This window comes from Homo sapiens, chromosome 6 (assembly GCF_000001405.40).
Source record: "Homo sapiens chromosome 6, GRCh38.p14 Primary Assembly".
Classification (NCBI taxonomy): Eukaryota; Metazoa; Chordata; class Mammalia; order Primates; family Hominidae; genus Homo; species Homo sapiens.
In genome coordinates this window covers 164,039,348-164,064,871 of record NC_000006.12, presented here as the reverse complement: position 1 = coordinate 164,064,871, position 25,524 = coordinate 164,039,348, and the positions used below count along the sequence as shown (strand labels likewise).

The 25,524-nt window shown below is 38.1% G+C and overlaps 1 long non-coding RNA gene across 1 annotated transcript in view; it reads right to left on the bottom strand.

Annotated features, from left to right (window-relative positions):
• Window positions 1–5,905: 5,905 nt before the first annotated feature.
• LOC105378102 (uncharacterized) overlaps window positions 5,906–25,524 on the bottom strand; it is a 155,467-nt gene continuing 135,848 nt past the window's right edge. Inside the window, exons 5-6 of the long non-coding RNA XR_943213.4 lie at window positions 7,717–7,824; window positions 5,906–6,003 (exon numbers count right to left, since the gene is read on the bottom strand). This is a non-coding gene — a long non-coding RNA (uncharacterized LOC105378102). The remainder of the gene's footprint in view (window positions 6,004–7,716; window positions 7,825–25,524) is intronic.

Below are 25,524 nucleotides of genomic sequence, written 5' to 3'. Positions count from 1 at the left end.
GTTCCTTGTATGTTTTGGATCTTAACGCTTTGTCAGATGTAGAGTTTAAAAATATTTTCTCCCATCCCATGCATGGGCTGTCTCTTTGGTCTGTTAATTGTTTCCCTTGCTATGCAGAAGATTTTTAGTTTGATATAATTCCACTTGTCTATTTTTGCTTTTGTTGCCTGTGTTTTTGGGGTCATATCCAAAAGAGTATTGCCCAGACTAATGTCAGGGAGTGTCTCCCCATGTTTTCTTCTGGTAGCTTCATAGTTTTAGGTCTTGCATTTAAGGTTTTCACACATTTTGAGTTGATTTTTGCATATGGTATGTGATAAGGGTCTCATTTCATTCTTCTATTATGGATATCCATTTTTCTCAACACCATTTATTGAAGAGACTATCCTTTTCTCATTGCATGTTCTTGGCTCCTTTGTGCTTTGTAGTATATTTTTAAAGATGGTGGTGCAGTGCCTACAGCTTTGTTCTTATTTTTCAGGATGGCTTTGGCTATTCAGGGTCTTTTGTAGTTTCATACAAATTTTAGGAGTGTTTTTTCTACTTCTGTGAAGCCTATTTGCTTAGAATATTTCTTCTCATCAAACAGCATCATTAAGTGCTTAGTGGATACTGTTAGAAAAATCCTTCAATTATGAAAATCACCATGTATACATGGCTGTTTAAAAAGCATAATTTATGTGCATTTATAGAACAAAATCCAAAAAGAAATAATTGAAAGAACAGTTGTTTTTACCTTCTCCCACACATAAACTCAACCCCTTAGGAAATATTAGCATAGAACAACTTTTCTTGGAATCTAGAGTTTAAGGCTCTTCAATAATTTTAAAAGAAACAAAATATATATCAGAAATATAAAATATGATAACTGGGAACTTTATAGGCTATAGTTTCTAGTCCTTAAGTAATAAAATATTATAGTGAGTATAAGAATGAAAATAAATATCTCAATGAAAAATTTCAAGCCAATATTCAAAATATATCACTTATGACTATTTTATATTTAAATGCCCATGATATTCTAAATTTTTTTATTAAAATGTTAAGTTGGAGCTGCATTTCTAGCAGACAAGATACCGTGGGTGACCCTGCCTTCTTTATTGAGACAACTAAAATGCTGGAAGAGAGAGAGATGAGAGATAGACGGTAATATTGCACCGCATTTTTGAGTTGGCACAGAAGGAATCTCAGAGGTCCAAATGAAAATGAAAGCAGGAACCTGGGAAATAAGCAAGAACTGCCAGAACAAAAGTTGCCTTTTGTCTGGGGATTTCATCCAAGCCTTAGAGGCCTTGAGCTTCTGCTTTGATGTGAAACCAGAGATAAAATCTAGGCCTGCCCAACATGAGGAATCTCACAGGATGCCTTCCCATATAAAGCTGGGATAGAGAATGAATAAAGCCACTCTTCAAAAGGGAATTGATGGCCTCAGGTTTGGCACTGTTTGCATGCGGGGAATATGTGTAGCCCAAAGTCTGGTAGAGCACCAGGCAACTAGCAGAAGCAGATCAGAATTGTCCCCAGTTCAGGGGACCCAGGAATAAAAATATTCCTGCATGAAATCCCAAAGAAAATGAGTAGTTGACAATTAAACAAGCATAAAACACAGAAGGAAACAAACACAGCATGCATGAGTGCCAGTCATAACAGGAGATAGCAGAAGGAAGTCCGTAAGGGTTACAAAACAGCAATGATCAGAATACACATGTATTACATTTCACATGTTTAAGCAAAGAAAAGCCTAGAAATAGTAGAAAGTAGAACGAGTTTACTTAGAAACATGAAAATTTGAAAAAGAATGACATCATAATTTTATCTTCTACAAATGATATGAAAATAAGTTAATGAATTAAACATCAGGTTGGAGAAAGTTAAGGAAAAAATTAGCGAATTGGCAAACAGAGCTGAAGAAGTCATCCAGAATGCAGCACAGATGAAAAAGAGAGGAGAAATACGATAGAGAGATTGTGCCACCGAAAGAAAGTGGAACACTTTAACATTTGTCTAACTATAGTTCCAGAAGGAGAAAATAAATATAAAGGATAAGAATCAATGTTCAAAGGACAGTGATAATGGCTGGACATTTTCCAGAATTGCTGAAATGTACCAATTCTTACAGCCAAGGAGCCCAATGTCAATCAACATTCATGTCAATCACATAAATAAAAATCACAGCTGTGAAACTGCAGAATAGTAAAGAACCAAGGAGGAAAGACAGATCACCAGGAAGAAACAGGATGATGACTTCTCAACAGTAAAAAAGAATCCATAAGGCAATGTAATTAATATCTTCAAAGTGCTGATGAAAAATAATAGTCAATCGAGACTTCCATATCTTTCAAGAATGACAGCAAAATAAAGATACATTCAGACAAGTCAAAATTGAGTTTGTTCCAGAAGTCTCTCACTAAAGAAAATTCTCAAGGATTTATGTGAGGGAAAAGGAAAGAGACTTCAGTTGGGATGTCTGAGAAGCAAAACAGAATGGTCACAACCAGAATCTAAAACACCGCTGCAGGCCAGCAGTCATAGAGTTATTCTGAGCATTAAACGTGAAGAGCTGAAGTGCCCTATATATATGTGTTAGTATGAGGAACAGAAAGGAACTTCTTAAACCTGTTAAAAGCCCTCTACAAATCCAAAAGCAGTGTGTCAATAGCCAAATTCCTGTTGTTCCTATTCAAACCTGAAACCTTCCCCATCTCAGTGGGCCAGCTGGCAACTTCAGCCTTCCTTTGTTCAGTAATTCTTAACTCCTCTCTGCCTCTTACATCTGACATTCTAACTCTCAGGAAATCTCATTAACTGTGTATTCAGAAAGTATCAAGATCTGAGCCCCTCCAGATCACCACGTTCAGAGTCGCAACCATGTCTCACTTAGAGGGTTGGAGCTTCCTGGATGGCTTCTCTGTGTCTGTGTTGGGTGGCCTTGTTCTACCTAATGACCTAATTTAAAATTTGCAATATCTCCCCAGACCTGAGCCACCTTTCTCTGCACTGTTCCCCCAATGACAAGCACCACCTTCTAGAATGCTATATAATATAGTTACATGTTATACTGATTGCTTATTTTCTCTCTTCACGCCTACCTTTGTAAAATGTAAGCTTTATGAAGTATGAGATTTCTGCTGGCTTTTGTTTTGCTGGTTTTTTACTGGCATATGCTGAGCCATGTCTGACTATGTGTTGAATGAGTGAAAAGTTACAAGTATCTTTCATAAGATCAGGACCAAAATAAGCAAATGTAGTAAAGTACACTAACAAAATGTTACAATGTAAAACTGGAATAAAATAAACCAAATTGTCATTATTTTTAGAAAATACGATCATCTATAAAGAAATCTTAAGTAGTCAACAGATAAAATATTACAATCTCAGTAATAAGAGAATTTGGCAAAATTATGAATACAAAATCAATATACAGAGGTATAATTGCGTTTCTATTCTACAACAGAGTTATTTAAATAATTAAAGACACCATTTAAATAGAAAAGAAACATATATAACCTTAGAATTAACTTAGAATATTTTAAGCATTCTATTAAAATAATATCTCACCAAAGATGTGTAAGACATTTAAAAGCAGATATTAAAGAAGATCTAAGTAAAATGAGAGTTACATCAAATTTTTGAATTTGAACATATATCAATTCTTCAGAAACTGTTCTATCAATTCAGTCTAATTCCAATACATTTCTCAGCTGTTTTTCACAAACATCTAAACATAAAAATATTTAGAAACATTTAGCTATTTCTAAAATTTAGAAGAAAATATAAATGACCAAGGATTGCCAAAGCTCTCTTGAAGAACAAGGTAGAAGTAATTGCCCTACTGGATATCAAAGCTTATTATAAAGTAATGGTAATAAAGTTATAAATATTTAAGCAAGTAATAGTAACCAAAGTGTATTGTAAAGTGGTAGTAATTAAAACAGTGTGACATTAAGACCAAGGTGAACATTCAGGGAGCCCAGAAAGAGATCCACATATATGCAGATGATATATGACAGAGCGTGCATGGCAGATGAGTGGGGAAAGAATGAAGTCTATAGTAAGTGGTATTCATATGGAAAATATTGACATTTCTATTAACCTCTTCAGAAAAAATGTAAGAAAATCCTATGACCTATAAGCGAAAGGATTTCTTAAATAAGACCCCAAAAAACAGAATGGATAATTATACAAGATGGATAATTGTAACTACATTAAAACGAAAAAGTTTCTATTTCTCAAAAGATACCATAAAGTGAAATGGCAAGCCACACACTGAGAGACAATATTTTCACCACTTAAAATGGATGAAGGATTAGTATACAAAGTATGTGTGTGTGCACACGTGTGTGTATATAGATATAGTTTACTAATCACAAGAAAAAGACAAACAACTCGATGGAAAAATTGGCCCCCAAAGAGGGCTTAAATGACAGAAAACAAAAAAAAAAGACAGAAATAGACACAGGAATGGCCCACAAAAATCTGAAATGAGGCTCAACAGCATGGAATAAACTTATTTTCCATGGGTTTCCGTTTGATTCCATGCCTTTCCTTAGAAATCCAAGATAACATACTGATCTCTCCACATATCCACAAATTAAACACAAATGGAAATATCTGTTGAGTCCCCTGTTACCTTTTTGTATTTTTTGTAGCATTTACTAAAACAAAGCTTTGTATGACATGAGAACAGTATGTATCAGAAAAATGAAAATTAAATCCACAATTTAAAATCTACTTTACTACTACCAAATTAGCAAAAATTTAAGTCTAGTGATATCCAATGTTGGTAAGGAAGTAGAACAATGAGAACAAATACATGCCAGTGACAGGGGAAACTGGTGCAAATGCATTGAAGTACACTTTGGTATTCCCTTGCAAAGCTGGACATCGGAATACCTATAACTAAGCAAACCCCCAGAGAAAATATTGCTCATGTATACCAGGAGGTGTATGAGGATGTTTAGAGTAGCACCGTTCATAATAACAAAGAGAAGTAATGACTTGGAATACCTAGCCATAGTAGCACTGACAAATCAATTGCAAAATATCTTTAAAGTGGAACGCTAAAGAGCAGTGAAAATAAATTAACTAATAAATTAACTAGAGCACTGTGGTTCATTCTATATACATAGATTATTATACCATTAGAAAAACAAAGGAATGATTAATGTAAAACTCAGGAAAATGGATAACTCTATAGAGAATGCAGTCAGAAAGGGACATAAAGGGATCAGTAAAATAATAATGGTCTATTTTATATGCTGAATGCTAACTTAGTACAAGGAATGTTTTAACTCTACATAATTTACTTATGTGCACATTTTGTTTCTCACAGCAGCATGGAATAAGCTTATTTTCCCATGGGTTTCTGTTTGATTCTATGCCTTTCCTTAGAAACCCGAGATAACATATCTCTGCACACATCCACAAATTAAATACAAGTGGAAGTATCTACTGAGTCCATCTTTGGCTTTTTGTAATTTTTGTGTAGCATTTACTAAAGCAAAGTTTTATGTGATATGAGAACAAATGTTGGATTCCAATTGTAAAAACCCTATCAGAAGCAAAATAGGCAACTAGAGATGAACATGGAGCATGAGTGGTTTTCCAAGGAAAATGTCAGTCTTATCGTTCTAATTACAAGAAGCCAGTGCTACTGTGTAAATCTGATTTACACAAACTGGACTTCAATTAAAATTCCAGTTTTGCAAATTCAGGACACTAATTCTCAAATGCCAATATAAATAGGTTAAAAAGATAAAAACATGAACACACAACGTGGGCAAGCATGTATAAAATACATAAAATGAAGATATGTTTTAATGTTTACTTTATGCAAGAATGCTGCTCTCGTAAGTTATATGTGCTCCATAAAGTATTTAAATTACCCGGGCATGATAGAGGGTACCTGTAATCCCAGCTACTCAGGAGGCTGAGGCAAGAGAATTGCTTGAATCCGGGAGGCGGAGGTTTCAGTGAGCTGAGATCACACCACTGCACTCCAGCCTGGGCAACACAGTGAGAGTCCATCCCAGAAAAAAAAAAAAAAAAATTACAGGGCACAATTAACAAGTCTATATTTTTTAGCCAACTACAACAATTCTGCTTCACTATTAATTAATAAAAGTTACAAGTAATTTTAGCATTCACAAGCAGTCTCTAAAGTAACACTGGAATTTTACAAGTCACATAAAATGGCACTAATATTAATTCTACCAAATATTTTACTTGCAAATCAATTTACCCATGTTCTCCTAGAGCAAGTGGCATAATGTAGTTGCAAATTGTATTACAAATAGATTGTCTTGAAATGATCACTTTCAATTCCATGCCCCCAACTAAACAATCTTGAGATGTTTGCATTCGATTATTTGGAAAATAACAATTATAACATGTCCTGAGGGACCAGTAATCTAGCAAATTAAATCCAGTGAAATATAAATTCGTCACCATTATCTTTTAATATTGGCGAACTAGATAAGGGGAAACAAAAGCTATTACTAAACAGATAAATGAATAAGCCCAGACATGTTGTTAACCCTCAACTATGATCACCCCCATGTGTGTGGGGCCATTGCCCAAGCCCCCTTATTATTCTAAAGCAAAGAATTAATGAGGTTTGTAGTAAATAGGGTCTGACCCTGAATAAAACAATCTTATTTTCAGCTTCAACCTCGCAATATAGCGCTTCCTAAATATGCTTTCGGGTTCACTAAACTTTGTTATCCTTGCTCAGACTAAAGTGACTCAGGAGGCAGAGGGAAATGGCTTGATTCTCTAAACTGTGAAATCAAAGTAAAGTCTTTGTCATCTCAGGAGCTCATGCTTCCAGTGTCTCCTCTCCAAGCCTGTGCCAAGGTAAACGGGCAAGTAAGTATGTTATGCAGCCACAAACCAAACAAACTAATCCAAATTTCTGGAACGTACCAAATCTAGATTATTTTGAGATTATCTCATAGAACCATGGGTCAACATCACCTGACTGATGAAAGTAAGGAGTATTCTGAATGTCAGGCACCCCAGAAGCGATCTAATGTGGGGCAGGAAATCAGCAGGCATGCCAGGAGAAAGTCGGCCTCCTACCGTAACGCAGGCAGGGAGGGAGGGGTATTTAAGCTGAACCTGAGGCCAGCAGGGCATGGGATGGTTCTGTCGTGCAGGAGGACTTCCTTGGCTGTCGCATGACAAGCCACAAGCTGGCAGCAGAACAAAGCACCATCCTCTCTACAGGAAAGCAACAACGGTGTTGCCTAAGAAGGGTCCCATTCCTGGGGCCACCAGCATCCCAGGTAAAGGTGCCTGGTAAATTCAGGGGGAGCATAAGAAACGCAGGATGAGCTCTGGAAAACAGACCGTCAGTGGCAAGCCCGTGGCTCATATGGAAGTATCAGCAAGGCTTGCCAGCCATGTTTCCACACCCAAGAAAGTGACCATCATCAACAGTAAAGGCCACAGCTTGACATCAAGACAAGGTGGCTGAAGGTGGGCTGAGCAAAACTGTTGAAAATGTGATTGGGAGGGAGCACTGCTTATTCCCTGGAACTCTCAGGAACACGTAAGGGACACTTTGTGGTGGAGTGCCTATGAACTACCTTCTAAGAAAGAAATCAGTGGGACTTTATACATTAGTAAGCTTCGTCTAAAAAAAAAAGGGAATGTAAACTCTACTTTTGATTTATAGTAGGTGCGTTTAGGCTACATGGGGAAAACAAAACTCACCTTACAGGCTGGAGGCAAGGGTCATATAAGACATGTTGAAGGCATCGGGTGTCTACTAGGCTTTCAAAGATTGGTTGCCAATTTCAATCCTCACGCATTTCTTCTTTTCTGAAATTACACATTTTCACAATTTTCAGGAAAGGAGGAATTAAGTATTCCTGTTTTATTCTAGAGGATACTATGATTAGGGCCTCAGTAAGCTACCTGGTAAAATTCTCTCTAAAACTCAAGGATACTTGAAGCACCTTGAGAAGAAGCTAAAATATTGTCTTCTAATACCATCAGTACTTACTTGCATTCATCATTTTATTAGTTGTCTATAAGGAACACTTACATGTTAATCATATTAACACTTTGAATGGCATATAAGAAGCAATATTTTCCATGACTTCAAATAAATTCTTATACATTAGCATAAGGCCACACCTCAGAGGGAAGTTGTCTCGTAAAAAGTGAGACATTGGTTGGCAAGTAAATAGAATTTGCAGGGTGGCTAATGTTGGACTGTTTTTCAGCAGGGGAAGAGAAAGAATAGAGATGCCCTTAAAATAAACCATATGGGTCTCAAACTATTCATGCCACGAATCAGGTCAGTCATATTTCAACCTCCTCCCTCAAGCTTATCTCAGTGCAACTTAAGGAAGAAATGGAAAGTACATTTCCACCAGAATGCATGTCTTATGGAGGGGCAGGGGAGAAGGCAATTTCATAACAGTTTCAAACTAAAGTAGTACCCCAAAGCCAGTGATGTATTCTGGCCCAGACTTGACAGGTTATTTTACCTGACCAAGCCTTATTGTTCCTCTGGAACAATAAGCATATTTTCACACATTCTATTTTTATTTCTCACCAAATGTGTCAAGACTTGGTTTCTATTAATTAAATTTGTATATAATTGTAGATATGCATGCAGTTGTAAGAAACAATACAGGGAGATCCAATATACCCTTTGCCCAATTCCCCCAGTGGTAACACCTTGCAGATATTGACAATGATACAGTCAAGATACAGAACATTTCCATCACCACAAACATCCCTTATGTTGAACTTTTAAAGCCACACTCACTGCCCTCTCCCTCTCCTCTGTCCTTAGCTCCTGGCAACCACACTTGTGTCTCTCTGTTTTGATAATTTTGTTATTTCAAGAATGTTTTATAAATGGTACTAGATAGTATACAACTTTTTGAGATTGATTTCATTTTCTCAACATAATTTTCTGAAGAGTCATCAAGGTTGTTGCATGTATCAATATACTAACATGCATGTATTAACAGCTTATTCCTTTTCATTGTTGAGTAGTATTCCATGTTTTGGACATAGCAAGGCTTGTTTAAACATTCACTAATTTAAAAATATCTTATTTGTTTCCCATTTGAGGCTGTTATGAATAAAGCTACAATTAAGATTTGTGTACAAATTTTATGTGAACATAAACCTTCATTCTTTTTGGATAACTGTTGGGTCACATGGTGCTTGTATGTTTAGTTATTTAAGAAACTGCCAAATTCTTTTCCAAAGTGGCTGAAACATTTTACATTACCATCAGAAATGTAGGAGTGATCCATTTGTCTGCATCCTTGCAAGTATTTGGTGGTGTCATTATTTTTAATTTCAGCTATTCTGATAGGCATTCAGAGATATCTGATTTTGGTTTTAATTTACATTTCCCTAATAGCTAGTGATGTTAAACATACTTTTACATGCGTGTTTGCTATCTGCATTTCCTCTTCAGTGACATGTCTAGGTCCTAATTGTATTGTTTTACTTTCCTATGGAGTTTTAATAGTTCCTTATATATTCTTAAGATCAGTCCTTTGTTAGATTCTCAGTCTGAAAATATTTTCTGTAATGTTTCATCCTCTTAATAAGGTCTTTGGAAGAGCAAAAGTTCTTTAGTTTAATGGAGTCAAATTTACCAATTTTGCCCTTTATGGATACTCCATTTGGTGTCAAGTCTAAGAATACTTTACCTAGCCCTAGATCATGGAGATTCTGTTTTTTTCTAAATACTTTGTAATTTTTTCATTTTATATTTAAGTCTGTGATCTATTTTGAGTTAATTTTTGTATATAGTGTAAGGTTTAGGTCAAGATGCATTTTTTTTTTTTTTGGCCTGTGGATATCCAAACACTCCAGTAAGTTGACAATTTAGATGAAATGGACAAATTCTTTGAGATGCGACTATCAAAACTTCACACAAGGAGAAATAGAAAACCTAAGTAGCACTCTATCTACTAAACAAATTGAATTCATAATTGAAAGCCTTTCCACAAAGAAATCCCCAGGCCCATATTGCCTTACTGTGAAATTCTACCAATTTTTTAAAGAAGAAATAATACCAGTTTTATTTAAGCTCTCCCAGAAAAATTCCAGAGGAACGAATACTTCCCAACCCAGTCAGTGAAGCCACCATTACCCTCATATTAAAACCAGACAGGGGAGTGTTGTTCAATGGACATAAAGTTTCAGTTGCGTGACATGAATAAGTTCTAGAGATCTGCTCTACAATAGAGTGCCTGTAAGTTGACAGCACTGTATTGTGCACTTAAGTTTTTAAGTGTTTTTACCACAAAAAAACAACAAAACAAAGGCAGAGGAGGAAGTTTCTAGAGGTGCTGGATATGTCTCTTCCCTTGATTGTGGTGGTTCCACAGTTGTATACATATATCCAAACTCATCAAATTGTATACATTAAATATGTACAGTTTTGTATATATCAAATATAGATCAATACAAAGCTGTTTAAAAAAAGACATTACAACAAATGAAAACTACAGACCAATATAACACATAGACATACATGAAAAAATAATTGTTAACAATTTTAGAAAATTGAATCCAACAATGTATCAAAAGCATAATGCATTATGACCACTTCGGATTTAGCTGAGTAATATGAGATTGGTGTAATATTTAAAAAATCAATGAATGTAATTTATTACATTAATAAACTGAAAAAAAGTATATGATCATCCCAATCAATGCAGAAAAAGCAAGCACTTGACAAAATCCGACAACCATTACTGATGAAGTAAATGTCAGCAAACTAGAAATTGAAGGAAACGTCTTCAGCTGGATAAGCAGCATCTACAAAACAAAACAAAAACCCACAACTATAAACAGCATCATACCTAGGGGTGAGAGGTTGAAGATCAGGAGCAAGTCACAGATATTTCCTTCTCACCATTTTTGTTCAACATGGGGTTGCAGGTTCTAATCGATGAAATGAAACTACTGGATTTCAGGACAGTGTGGCATTGGGAACAAGATAGCAAACAGGTCATAGAACAAGACAGAAATGGAATGAGACCCACACATGTACAGTCAATTGATTTTCAACAAATGTGCAGAGTGTATCAGTCAGGGTTCTCCAGGGGGACTGAAATAATAAGATAGATATATATACAAAGGGGAGTTTATTAAGGAGTATTGACTCACACAATTACAAGGTGAGGTCCCACAATAGGCTGTGTCTGCAAGCTGAGGAGCAAGGAAGCCAGCCCAAGTCCCAAAATCTCAAAAGTAGGGAAGCCAACACTGCAGCCTTCAGTCTACGGTCAAAGGTCCAAGAGTCCCAAAGCTGAAGAACTTGGAGTCTGATGTTCCAGGGCAGAAAGCATCCAGCACAGGGGAATGATGGAGGCCAGAAGACTAAGCTGCCTAGTCCTTCCACGTTCTTCTGCCTGCTTTGTATTCTGGCCACGCTGGCGGCTGATTAGATTGTGCCCACCCAGATTGAGGGTGAGTCTGCCTTTCCCAGTCCACTGACTTAAATCTTAATCTCCTTTGGCAACACCCTCACAGACACACCCAGGAACAATTCTTTGCATCCTTCAATGCAGTCAAGTTGACACTCAGTATTAACCATCACACAGAGTAATATTAGGTTTATAAAATTAGTTAGAAAGTATTCTTTCTTCATCAGTTTTCTAGAAGAGTCTGTGTAGAACTCTTCTTCAGTGGAACCAACTGAGCTTGCAGCTCTCTTTTTGGGGAGAGTTTTTCAATCATGTATTCAATTGTATTAATAATTATAGTCCTATTCAGAGTAACTATTTCATATTGGGTGAGTTATGATAGTGTGTGTGTTATTTCAAGGATTTGGTTCAACTCATCTAAGTTTTGTGTGTGTAAAGCTGTTCATAGTGTTCTATTATTAGCCTGTTGATTTCTGCAGGGTTGGTAGTGATATCCCCAGTTTTATTTCAGATATAAACAATTTGTGCCTTCTCTTTTTCCCTTTGTCAGATTTACTAGATGTTTGTCAATTATATTGATATTTCTGAAGGCCAGCTTTTTTTTCATCGATTTTCTCTATTATTTCTGTTTTCAATATCATTGATTCATGCTGTTAACATTAGTAATTGTTTTCTATTGATTGCATTGGGGCTTTTTTCTATTTATTTTGAATTGTTGAGGTAGGATATTAGATGACTGAATTGCTGTGAATTTTTCTGTCAACAATGCTTTGACTGAGAGAAGAAAAATGTTCTATATTTATTTTATTAAGTTTGATATATTTTTAAATTTGTCCTCAAGATTCTCTCTTTGACCTGTAGATTTAGAAAGGTGTTACTCAGGTTCCAAGTGTTTGCAAAGGTTATTATTATTTTCCTGATAACATTTCTAGTTTGATTCCACTGTGATACTTTCAGTTTCAGATCTGACATGGAAACAGGTTGGAAGTCATCACTGCTATCTACACAATTAAAAAAAAAAACTGAAAATCAGTGAATTTTCTTGAACACATCAGAAAACTGAGTTCACAGGGCAAACTATACCGTCCTAGAACTTGAAGGAACAGACAGATCCAGAGAGTTCCAGCCAGGATCTGCTGACATGGAACAAAACCTGCTTTTGTCCTAAACTGGTAGGAACATCTAAATTGTAATTTTGTTGGGAGGCCGAGGCAGGTGGATCATCTGAGGTCAGGAGTTCAAGACCAGCCTGGCCAACATGGTGAAACCCCATCTCTACTAAAAATATAAAAACTAGCCAGGCGTGGTGGCACGCGCCTGTAATCCCAGCTACTCGGGAGGCTGAGGCAGGATAATTGCTTGAATCCAGGAGGCAGAGGTTGCAGTGAGCCGAGATCACGCCACTGCACTCCAGCCTGGGCAGCAGGGCGAGACTGTCTCAAAAAAAAAAAATTGTAATTTTGATGAGCTACGAGAGGCTGTGTATGGAGTGGCCTGAGAATGAGAAAGTCAGGAGAGTGTGTTCCTAGGGGAGGGCCACACTTTCACATTTTGCCTTCAGGAGCCTCACCACGTTCTCATCGTGAGTCCCGAAGGTTCCCTCCTGGCTCTGGCCCTGGGAGGGGAAACGTAACCATTATGAAATATGGCAGAGCATTCTCTACAACAAAGGCCTGCCGTGCAGAGTGTTCTCTACAACAAAGACCTGCTCTCCAGGGTAAAAGTCTACCTGAGCCTCATCAACCTTGGGAAAGAGCATCTCCCAGACACTCGTCCTGTGAGTCACCCTATATTACCTGGAGGTGGGGACACGTCTGCTAGAGACCTAGATGGAATCATGAGATGACAGCACACTTCCCCTCCCACCCACTCCACCCCCATTCCAACAGTGCTCTGGCAACAACCGTGAATCAGGAAGAGTTCTCAGGGAAACCCAAAGACAACAGGAGAGATGAAAATGAGAACATCTGAAGCCTCCCAAATATGTTCTCTTAGCTTTAGACATGTTGCCCCTAAGCAATTTGAACATCCTTTCTTCTCGTCTATCTGGCTAGCTCTTCATTATTATTCAGGGCACATTTGATTTCAAGACACACATGTGAATATAAGCCTTTCTGAACTGTGCCACACAACTGTATGAATCTCTGATCTCCAAGAGGGTCCAAGGGCCTCCCTGTGTGCTCCCTCAGCATCTAGTACCTACCCCCGATCTGCATTTTCATGCTCTCAATTGCCATTACTTGGTCTTTTTTGTCTCTAACCATAAGCTGACTAAAACAAGGGACTCTCATGGGTTCTATTGTATTGTTAGTTCTTCCCACTCACAGTTCCTGGCACATAATAGGGCTTCAGTAAAATAGATTGCATTCAGTGGAACATAATGCAATCTATTTCATTGCATTTCTCAATTCAATTCTGTGTATGACAATTTATTTCAATTAGGATTGGAATAGAAACACATAGATAAAATGAGAGAAAAAATAGTTTCCACAAAGGAGAAGAGGGGGCTCTTATCAGAAAAGAAAAAGAGGAGAGGGATCCCAGATAGACCAACTAGCAACTGTTCACTACAACTCGCTTCATCATCTTAAACCCCATCTCAATTCTTAACAGCCTTATGATTTTTAATGTTGATGGGATAAAAGGGATTTGAAAACACACAGTACTGAAACAAGTTCTTTCATGCTCATGGGGCTCAGGAGGTTTAGAAACATCTTTCATTTTCCCTAAGAAATGCTCTCTGACATAAGACTTTTCAAAATGTATCACTAAAAATGTATAAAGACATTCATTCATTTAATAAATTTTATAAGTGCCAGAAATCTTACCTAGAACTTTGATATATCAGTATTATACATCACCCAACACACATGCTTAGACTGTTAAGTCATTTCCTAGGTAATCTAGTCCAACCTGCACCTAATGTAGGAATCACTTCCATCTTCTCTCTGACGTTGAACTGAGCCTCTATTTGAATTCTCTCATTGATGGGAAGTTCATTGCTTTGCAGAAAACCTAAACCTAAAACACAACCATCCCATTGTTGAACTATAATTATTAGGGATGTCCTTCTTATGACAGACCTAAATTTGCTTTCTTATTGTCACTATCTATTGCTGTGTATTTTACTTTCTGGAGTATTATACAATAAATCCATTTCAGCTTCCACATGGTGACATTTTGAATATTTGAAGGCAGTTACTTTGTGCCCTCATCGTCCTCTGTTTTTTAGGCTAAAGAGTCTCATGTCTTATTAGTACAAAATGATATAAAAAACTTATGACTGATGATTAGAAAAGAAGTCTGATCCACCATACAAATTTTAAAAATACATTAGGAATTAAAAGGTTAGCATTTGTGATTTTTATTATTCATGAGTCATTTTGAAAGTCATGACATGCACTGATTTACAATTTCTAGAGGACGATTTTATATGAGCCTAGTTGTGAAAGCACATCCTTTGACTAATGAGTGCCCCTAGCCCCTGGCTGTCACATGCATGGAAGGACAAATGTATACATCATATTGCATTTGTGAATTTGAAGATTATGATGTTTCAGGAACTAGCCCTTGGAACTGTTACTGTATATGTCTATTCTACATATAGTAAATGCATTGCAATTTAATTTTGCCTGAGTAGAAGATTGGTTATTGCTCATATTCCCAGTGCCTGTATTGGTTCACACATCACATCAACCCCAGAAAAGTAATTACCCTTCCTTAGACCAACAAAACCTGATAAATTGTAAAAGCCTTCCAGTGGAAGTCTTCTCATCACCTAGTTGCAGTAATAAATCAACGAGGCAATTCCATCTAAGAGTCACTTCATTATAGAGTATGTACTGAGAAAATGACTTTCTATATTAGCATTGCTTACTTAGGAGGTAATGGATATTACAGTCATATGAAAAACGTGATCTTAAAGTAATATTGCCTCCATTGATATGTAATTGGCATTTAAAAAATAATAATTTTGTACAACATATTTAGATCTTTTTTACTTCACTGTGCATTTGTTTCTAGCCTCTGTGATTACAAAACTTGGCATCTGTACGGGTGCATGAGACCTTTCCTGCATGAGGAAGATTGTGTGACACCATCCCTGCTGCCTCTGCTCAGTCCTAGCCTGCTGCTGGTCCCTGCCCCGAACACCGAGCTTTCTGCCCTCTCTCTTTGCTTCCTGTGCTCCTGCAAACATCTCAGTTGGTTTCTCCTGAATGTCTCTCTGTTGATTTTCAAACAAAACCAGCAATCATTACTGTGTTTCAAAGCCCCTGCATGATCAAACTCTACCTTGATCTCTAAGGTAACTCTCTCAGTAGAGAACCATAGAGGTGAAATGCCCATCTCATTGCGTCATTTCAGAGGATAACTAATATTGACGTGACTTATCACTAGTGAGTAAACTTTCATCACTTGGTTAATATGGTTCCACACTGCTAATTTCCTTTTGCATTATCTCTTCTTTGGAGTGAGTCACTATGTGCAATCCACACTCAAGGGAAGCGAAATCAAGCTCAACCTCCTGGAGGGGAGAATATTATTTGTAATTCTTCTGTGAGAAATATTTGTTCCTTCTCACTAATTTTTATTTAATAATTTATTGATATCAGTATGGGCTCATAGATATTTATTTTGTTCTTTGGGTAAAACCAGGTCTTTCTAAAAACTTTTGTTGCACAAATTCTATCTGTTTTGCCGAGTGGAAGCTCTTTGAAACTGTTTTTTCCCATTTTGTTTGGGCTATATGTCTTTTCTTGTAAGTCTTTGTCAGCTACATGCATTGTAAATATATGACCCCTGCCAATGGCTTGTCTTTTTACAATCTCAATGATACATTTGGTCAACAAAAGTTCTTAATTTCAAATTACGCCCAACTTATCAAAGTACTTGATAAAATTCAACAACTCTTATTTTTTTTTTGAGTCAGCAAACTAGGAATAGAAGGAAACTTCTGTAATCTAATAAAGGTTATCTACAAAAAATCCCAACAGCTTTCATAATGCTTGTATTAGTCAGTTTGCACACTGCTGATAGAGACATACCCAAGTCTAAGTAATTTACAAAGGAAAGAAGTTTAATGGAGAACTCATAGTTCCACGTGGCTGAGGAAGCCTCACAATCATGGCAGAAAGCAAGGAGAAGCAAGTCACATCTTACGTGGATGGCAGCAGGCAAAGAGAGAGCTTATGCAGGCAAACTCCCATTCTTAAAGCCATCAGATGTTATGAGACTTACTCACTCTCATGAGAACAGCACAGGAAAGATCTGCCCCCATGATTCAATTATCTCCCACCAGGTCCCTTCCACAACACATAAAATTCAAGATGAGATTTGGGTGGGGACACAACCAAACCATATCATTCCACCCCTGGCCCCTCCCAAATATCATATCCTCATATTTCAAAACCAATCATGCCTTCCCAACAGTCCCCAAAAGTCTTAACTCATTTCAGCATTAACTCAAAAGTCCACAGTCCAAAGTCTCATCTGAGACATCCCTTCTGCCTATGAGCCTGTAAAAAAAGTTAACTACTTCCTAAATACAATGGGGGTACAGGCACTGGGTAAATACAGCCATTCCAAATGGGAGAAATTGCCCAAAACAAAGGGGCTACAAGTCCTGTGCAAGTCCAAAATCCAGCAGGGCAATCAAATCATAAAGCTCCAAAATGATCTCCTTTGACTCCATGTCTAACATGCAGGTCACACTGATGAAAGAGGTGGGTTCCCACAGCCTTGAGAAGCTCTGCCCCTGTGGCTTTGCAGGGTATAGCCCCACTCCTGGCTGCTTTCACAAGCTGGTGTTGAGTGTCTGCAGCTTTTCCAGGAGCATGATGCAAGCTATTGGTGGATCTACCATTCTGGGGTCTGGAGGATGGTGGCCTTCTTCTCACAGCTCCACTAGGCAGTGCTCCAATTGGGACTCTGGATGGGGGCTCGAACCCCACATTTCCCTTCCACCCTACCCTAACAGAGGCTCTCCATGAGGGCCCCACCACCCCAGCAAACTTATACATGTAGAAAGTTAAAAGAATCTATGAGCAATTTAATAAAAATGATATGAATAGAAGGTTGTTGAATAAAAGGTCAATTATACAAAAATGTATATATTTCTATATAGTAACCATAAACATGTGGAAAGTAAAATTTTAAATACCATTTACAATCGCATCAAAAATTAAATAATTTGAATAAAAATGTCCATGACATCAACACTAAATCCTCAAAAACACAGCTAAGAGAAAGAAATGATTATCTAAATAAGAGAAAAAGACATACCACATTCATGGAGAATAAATCAATGTTGTTTAAAGAATACAAAGATTCAGTTAGGTGGGAAGAATAAATTCTGGAGATCTAATATACAGCATGGTGACTATAGTTAATAATACTGTACTACATACTTGAAATTTGCTAAGAGAGTTGATCTAAAGTGTTCTTACCACACAATCGAAAAGTTGTAACTATATAAGGTTATCTAGATATAGATATATACAAATACATAATTAGCTTAATTATGGTAATCATTTCACAATGTATGCCTATATCAAAACACTATGTTGCACACCTTAAATATATATAATTTTTGTCAAGTCTACCTCAATACGGCCAGTAAAAAAAAATTTAAACATGTCCAAGTGGATGGCCAGGTTAATGCACCCACATATGTGATCAGTTATATCAGACACATGACATACAAACTATGGCAAATAAATAATTGTAGTGCAAAGCAAGTAATAACAAATAAATAGAAATCTTTGGATATTTGAACCCAAAGATTCAATGCAATCCTAATCAGAATTCCACAATATTTATTTTATAGAAATTGGCAAGCTGATTTTAAAATTTATATATTAATTGGAAGGAACTAGGATAGCCAAGCCAATGCTAATGAAGAATAAGGCTGGAGATGTATAGCCCTTGTAACAATACAGTGCTATGCTGGGGCGAAACTGGATAAATAGACCAATGTAATAGACAAAACGGAGTCAAAAACAGTCTCAAATTTATACATCACATGATTTATGAAACAGACTCCACTGCAATTCATTACAGAAGAGATGATCTTTTCAATAAGTAGAAATCCATTAATTCAATGTAAAATAAAATGGCAATCCCCCTACTTTACACCATACAAAAAATTAATTTAAGGCTGGGAGTGGTGGCTCACCCTGTAATCTCAGCACTTAGGGAGGCCAAGGTGGGAAGACCACTTGAGGTCAGGAACTCAAGACCAGCCTGGGTAACACAGTAAGACCCCCATCTACAAACAATTAAAAAATAAAATAATTAGCCAGGTGTGGTGGCCTGTACCTGTAGTCCTAGCTACTTGAGGGGCCAAAGTGGGAGGATTGCTGGAGCCTAGGAGGTTGAGGCTGCAGTGAGCTATGATTGTGCTACTGTACTATAGTCTGGGTAACAGAGTGAGACTCTGTCTCAAAAATAGAGTAATAATTTGAGAGAAATCAGGGACCTAAATATAAAATCTTGAAACAATGTTTCTAAGAGAAAAGAAAACAGAATATCATTATGATCTTGGGAAATAAAAAGATTTCTTAAATAACCCCCCACCAAAGCACCAACCAGGATATTAAAATGTTTTTTTCTGTTCTTTTTCTGAAAAATTTTCTCAAGAAACACTTTCTTTAATTTTTGAATACTTTCCTAAATTTCTTCAGTTTTATATCATGTGCTAATTTTGGCAATCTTTTTCCATTTGCTTAACTCTCAACCTTTTCCTTAAAATCGTAAAATAAGGAGATTTGACTAAATATTAACTAACTTCCCTTCACCTCCAGTATACTATCACTCTAATATATTGAAGAAAACTGCTTTTTTTCTTCTCCAGGCATTTAATTTCTTAAAATGCAAATTATAAAAAATTTAAGTTACACTTTCTGGTATAGACTCCTTCATGATTTTAATGACTGAAAGTCCCTCTGCACACTATAGTCATACTGTCAAACACTAGCATATTTCCTACTTACCAGGTGATATGGTTTGAATGTGTGTCCCTGCCCAGATCTCAGGTGGAATTGGAATCCCCAGTGTTGGAGGAGCGGCCTGGTGGGAGGTCACTGGATCATGGGGAGGATTTCCCCTTTGCTGTTCCCATGATGGTGAGTGAGATCACACAAGATCTGGTTGTTCAAAAATGTGTAGCACCTCCCCCTTCACTCTCTCTTCCTCCTGCTCAAGTGATGTAGCACATGCCTGCTTCCTCTCTGCCTTCCACTATTGTAAGTTTCCTGAGGCCTCCCCAGCCATGCTTCCTGTACAGCCTGAGGAACTGTGAGTCAATTAAACCTCTATTCTTTATAAATTACCCAGTCTCAGGTAGTTTGTTATAGCAATGTGAGAAGGGACTAATACACCAGGCAAAGGACCACCTTCATGAGCTCCATGTGAGATGCTTCTAATATGAAGACATTTGAATAGCTGCTGAAACTGCCAACTGCACCCCAACAATGGAACACAATAAATAGTCCTATCTAAGATACATGTAGTACACAGCCCGATTATAGAATAGGCCAGAGCTACAGGCATCACCATATGAAGAGTTAAAGCACTTTACCTAAATTTTTCCTTCCTTTTTGTTCCCATACAGAATTGATTCAGGATTGCTGGAAAAAATACTTTAAAGACTTGTAAGGTGACTACACAAAAATATATCCTAAAAATGTTATGTATTTGCACAATATACATATATTCTTAGCTGCTTATACCTTTATAAAACTGTCTATGGAAAACAGAAATGAAAAAGGAATAGAAATTTATTTTACTTTGTTCCTTGGTATTTGAATACAGGTAGTCAACTAGGCACTGTACAGAATGATTCTGAGAGTATGTGATCTCTGGTATAATGTGGACACTAATGCCATGTATAAATAAATGACAAATCTCTGAAGGCTTTTAATTTTTTATAGCTTTTTTTTTCAACAAGGGTATGTACATGCATTGAAGGAAGCTGAAAGTTTAATGGTTTTAAAAAAGATATTAGAGGAATAGTCACTTTTAGACAAAATTTAAAAATAGCATTCATCAATTAGATCTGATGATAAAAGTAGTAAGTGTTCTATGATGACAATTTAAACAATACAGAAGACTGGAGAGGCCACCATCATGCTAACCCTTCAGGGATAATCACTAATAACATAGTATAGTGCATTTCCTTCAAGTCTTTTTTCTTTACAAATGAATTCAAGTGAAAAGATAAAAATTATTATAACATAAAATTATAAAATTTGGTTGGTAAAAAACAGGTATAAGTCTCTCTAGGAAAGCAAAAAAAAAAAAGGGAAGGCAATCTGTAAGATTCCATTCAGGAATGAACTGAACAACATTACAAACAAAGTAAAACCCCCATCTATGAAAAACTAAAAAATAAAATAATTAGCCAGGTGTGGTGGCCTATACCTGTAGTCCTAACTACTTGGGAGGCTAAGGTGGGAGGATCGCTTGAGCCTAGGAGGTTGAGGCTGCAGTGAACTATGATTGTGTCACTGCACTATAGTCTGGGTAACAGAGTGAGACTCTGTCTCAAAAACATAATAAGGTGAAAGGCACTTCTTACATGGCGGCGGCAAGAGAGAAGAAGCTTGTACAGGGAAACTCCCATTTTTAAAACCATCAGATCTCGTGAGACCCATTCACTATCACAAAAACAACACAGGAAAGACCCACCCTAATAATTCAATCGTCTCTCACCAGGTCCCTCCCCCAACATGTGGGAATTATGGGAGCTACAAGATGAGATTTGGTTGGGGACACAGAGCCAAACCATATCACCATGTATTGGCAACTTTGCACATCCTCATTGTCTGCCAGTGTCTCTGTGACCCATTCAGCTTTTCTCTGCTCCTTCAAGATGCCATCCCCTGCTCTGAGTCTCTGGCCACATGAGACCATGGACCACCTGCTTAGAGGCTCCTCGACATCTTACTTTCCGAGACATGAGCACATCTAACTCTCCTACTTCATTGGGGCTCCCTAGTTATTTCACTCTCTGTTCTTAGGCCTTGCCCACCACATGTTTGTCAAAGCCATTTGGACTCACTGGAAGGTCAAGTTCAAGTTTTACCAACCCCTCACACCCACCTCAAAAGGTTCACCTGGAAACAAGAAGTCCACAGTCCCCAATTGATCTAACACCTCCATGTGTCCCAGGATCCTCCCAATACCAGCATTCTGTTTGATAACCCCAACACAACTATCCCAGGTCAATTTTTACAATTCTCATAGCCCCAGGTTCCATATGCATCAGTGTGCTATTGCATTTTTGGATAAACAAAAAGAATAAGGACACTGTTTTTCCTGCTTCAGTGATAATTTCAGATGCAGCCTTCTCACTGAAGGAGGCCAACAGGCACAACTCTGTCTCATCACATTGCTGCATCCTCTTCTGAGCTCATACTTCTTTCTCCTTGATCATTTTCATCTTTTATGATGACAGCCCCATTGCCGCCTATAATATAATCATTAAGGTAATAGTCAGCTAATAGACCCCAGTAAATGCTCTGTTAAATGGAATCCATTTATCCACTTCACCCAGTGTTTTAAGAGATTTTTTACAGCAGCACCTGACAGGAATACCCAATCAGGGTATTTACTTATCAACAATTTTAACTTACATCCACCCTACTCTCATTTCCACCAGCTAAACTTCTGTTCTTTTGAGAATGTGCCTGGTATCTTCCATGGATTCATCCTGTTGGAGGAAAGCTCCCCAAGTTCAAGCGTCAGGTCCCATCTGCCACTGTTGGCCATCTTTGTGAGTTTGAAACTGCTGGGAAATAGAGCATTAAAGCAAGCTGGCTATGCTGAAATACAAAGCCTTTGGGCCCAGGCCTCAGCAGGGCCTGTAATAGCAGGTGATCCAAAAAAGTTTTCTTCACAAAATGTTAACCATAATACATTGATAGCACTTTGCATGACCACAGTGACATAGGGAGGACGTCTGCAGACTGAAGATATGCACCTTATCAGAACCTCTGAATTCTATCAAGAGATGTGGCCACAGTGGGGAAACCTCATTTTGGCTTGAGGCCTGGATGGCCGCCCCAAGAACACCATGAGCATATGAACTAGAGTGGGAAATGTTGTCAGACACACTGAATTTCCCCTACGGTAACGGTTGGCTTATTGTGGCACCAGGCCAGACTCGTGGGCCCTCAGAGAGTTTTAGGCTGTGCAGCATTTGATGACACCAATACTTTTGTCTCTGTGGATTGAAGCTATGACTCTCTCAATAAATTTTCCTTTCCTCTCCCTCAGCTTCATGAGCAGAGTGTTTGAAAGGCCATGTTTTGAGATGTGTACCATCTGGCTGTAAGAAATTGTAGTTGCCAACATCAGGGAAAACAGGCCTCTCTCCTTAGGAATGCTTGATCATTCAACTAAGCACATGAAGATGAAGTAAGTAGATGAAAGGGTTTATGAGTTCTTCAGAGGGTTTGTGCTCATGTGTTTCAATTCCACTCTATTACAACAATGGTTTGACATGATTTATATCATTACACAAGTAATAGCAAGGTTTTTAAAAATAAACATAAACCAGAGTAAAGAAAAAACATAAGTAGGGAAAAAAAGAAGTGAAGTCAATGTATTCATTCCTTGTATTTCTATGCAGTCATTATAAGATGGTAGACTTCACCAGGCATGGTGGCATATACCTGTAATCCCAGCTACTCAGAGGCTGAGGCAGGAGGATCACTTGAACCTTGGAGGCAAAGGTTGGAGTGAGGTGAGATCATGCCCCTGCACTCCAGCCTGGGCAACAGAGTGAGACTCCATCTCAAAAAAAAAAGAGGGTGGTAGAAGATGTGACTCTGAGTATCCTAGCAGACAAGATACAAAGAAATAGTTGCTTGAAATAAATACAACTTTTTTTCTAACACTATGATGATAAAGAGATTTAAATTTTGGACCCTCATAAAAAAGACACTTAGGATTTATTGAACGATGTCCCAAAAAATCTCTATAATAAATGCAAAAATAGTTTGCTAGTATTTCTTTTGAGGTCAATCAATTTGTACCAATGACATGACACCAAAGCACCATTTCATAGGAACAAGTCAACTATGAACTAAAACAATGCACTCTAAATACTCACCTGCTGGTTTGGTTCAAGAATAAAATTTAGACTAGCTAGAAGAAGAAGAGCCTGTAATCCACTCAGCTCAAACAAATGCCAGGTAATACCATCACCAAATTAAATTATTTTAATGTAAAGTCCTCAGATCAGGCACACACACAGGATGATGTCACAGGCTTAGTGGGGCACTCTTCCAACAGAAAAGCCATTTCATATGCATCTCACTCTCCCATAGATGAGCTTCTAAGCATTCGGGAAGTTAACGAAGTAGAATGAGAAAGAATGAAAGAGGAAAGATGTCTGAATCATCAAAGATAGAACAAGAGGACTATTTAACTCAGTTGTTCATCTTTTAAGTTTAGCAAAAATAATCATCTGTGAATGTTATTGGGCACAGACCTTCATAAAAAGACATTGGGAGATAAATATGTGTCCCCCCACTGTAGACAGTGGAGGAATCTTTCTTAACCAATTTCCATTTAACCAACTCACCAGAAACCAAATTGAATGTTCTAGAAATTACTACAAAGCTGAGTCACTAAAAATAGGTGCTTTAAAATAAGGTAAGGAAAAGGCAAGTATGAAATATCAGGGAAGGAAAAGCTCAATTTCTTTAAGGCATTAGAAATATCTTCAACTTCTAACTCCTCTTTTAAGAAACTCAAAGTGGAAAGTGTTGACAATACATTGTGATTGTGGTTTATGGAAAAAAAAAGGTGTAATTCTAATCAGTGGCTCCTAGGCCATGTATCTGAACATAGTCTCTTCATTTCAGTTGCTCTCCGACGCTCTTTTTATAATTCCCCACTCGGAAGCCCTCCACAGATGTCCTTCTCCATGCTTTCCACCTGCATCTTAAAGAATATGTTTCTCCAAAAAGGGAAATTATTCCAGACACCCAGGTGATCCTGCCTGCCTGATAGGGCTGGCTTCTTGGGTGTGCAATCAATGCAGTGGCACAGGCCCCTATGCTTGGCTGAATGCTCTGCTGCCTTGTCTTGAACTAGTCTTATCTTTTAACTTGAATTTTGCAAGTGAAGGAGAACTGAGCTGGGCGCCTGCAAGACGTGGTGGGAAGCACCAGGTGGCCCTAGCCTAGCAGAGGCCTGCGCATGCGCAAGATCAAGCCCGCAAGCCCTGTGAAGGCGCATGCGCAGACAGCAGAACCCAATCCTTGGTGCTGCTCGGTGTTGCGGGGCCTCCACCGGGCGGAGGAGCTGTGACCTGCACCCGGGCTGGTGGCAGAGATGGCAGCTATAGCGGCAGCCACAGCCACAGGAGAGGAGAGGTGCTTTGCGCGAGGACAGAGCCAGGACACGTGGAGGGGGCTGGTTGCCGTCACTACCTGGAGCCCGTCCTTGCAAAGCCTCTGCCACTGGCTTTCCAGCCTGAGCTCCGCTACAGGAACTACCAGTGCGCAGCCAGCGAGACCTGTCAGTAGATTATTACAAAGTAAAAGTGCATGCGTGGGCATCACCATGAAGCTTGAAAACTCTTTAAAGAGTTTTGAATCTCTGGTTTTGAAAGCTAGCACAACACTGCAAAACAAATGTCTACAGATATACAGCACGAATAATCTTTCTTAGAAATTAAATTTAAATATGTTTACATCTGATGGAAAAGAACACTGTTTTCCTATGCAGCTTCAGCTAAACCAGTTATGAATAAGGAAGACAAATGTTTTCTTCTTTATTTTTATTTATTTATTTATTTTGAGACAGAGTATCGCTCTGTCGCCCAGGCTGGAGTGCAGTGGCGTGATCTCGGCTCACTGCAAGCTCTGCCTCCTGGGTTCACGCCATTCTCCTGCCTCAGCCTCCCGAGTAGCTGGGACTACAGACGCCCACCACCACGCCTGGCAATTTTTTTCTATTTTTTAGTAGAGACAGGCTTTCACCGTGTTAGCCAGGATGGTCTCAATCTCCTGACCTCATGATCCGCCCGCCTCGGCCTCCCAAAGTGCTGGGATTACAGGCGTGAGCCACCGCAAACAGGCATTTTAAATTACATGCA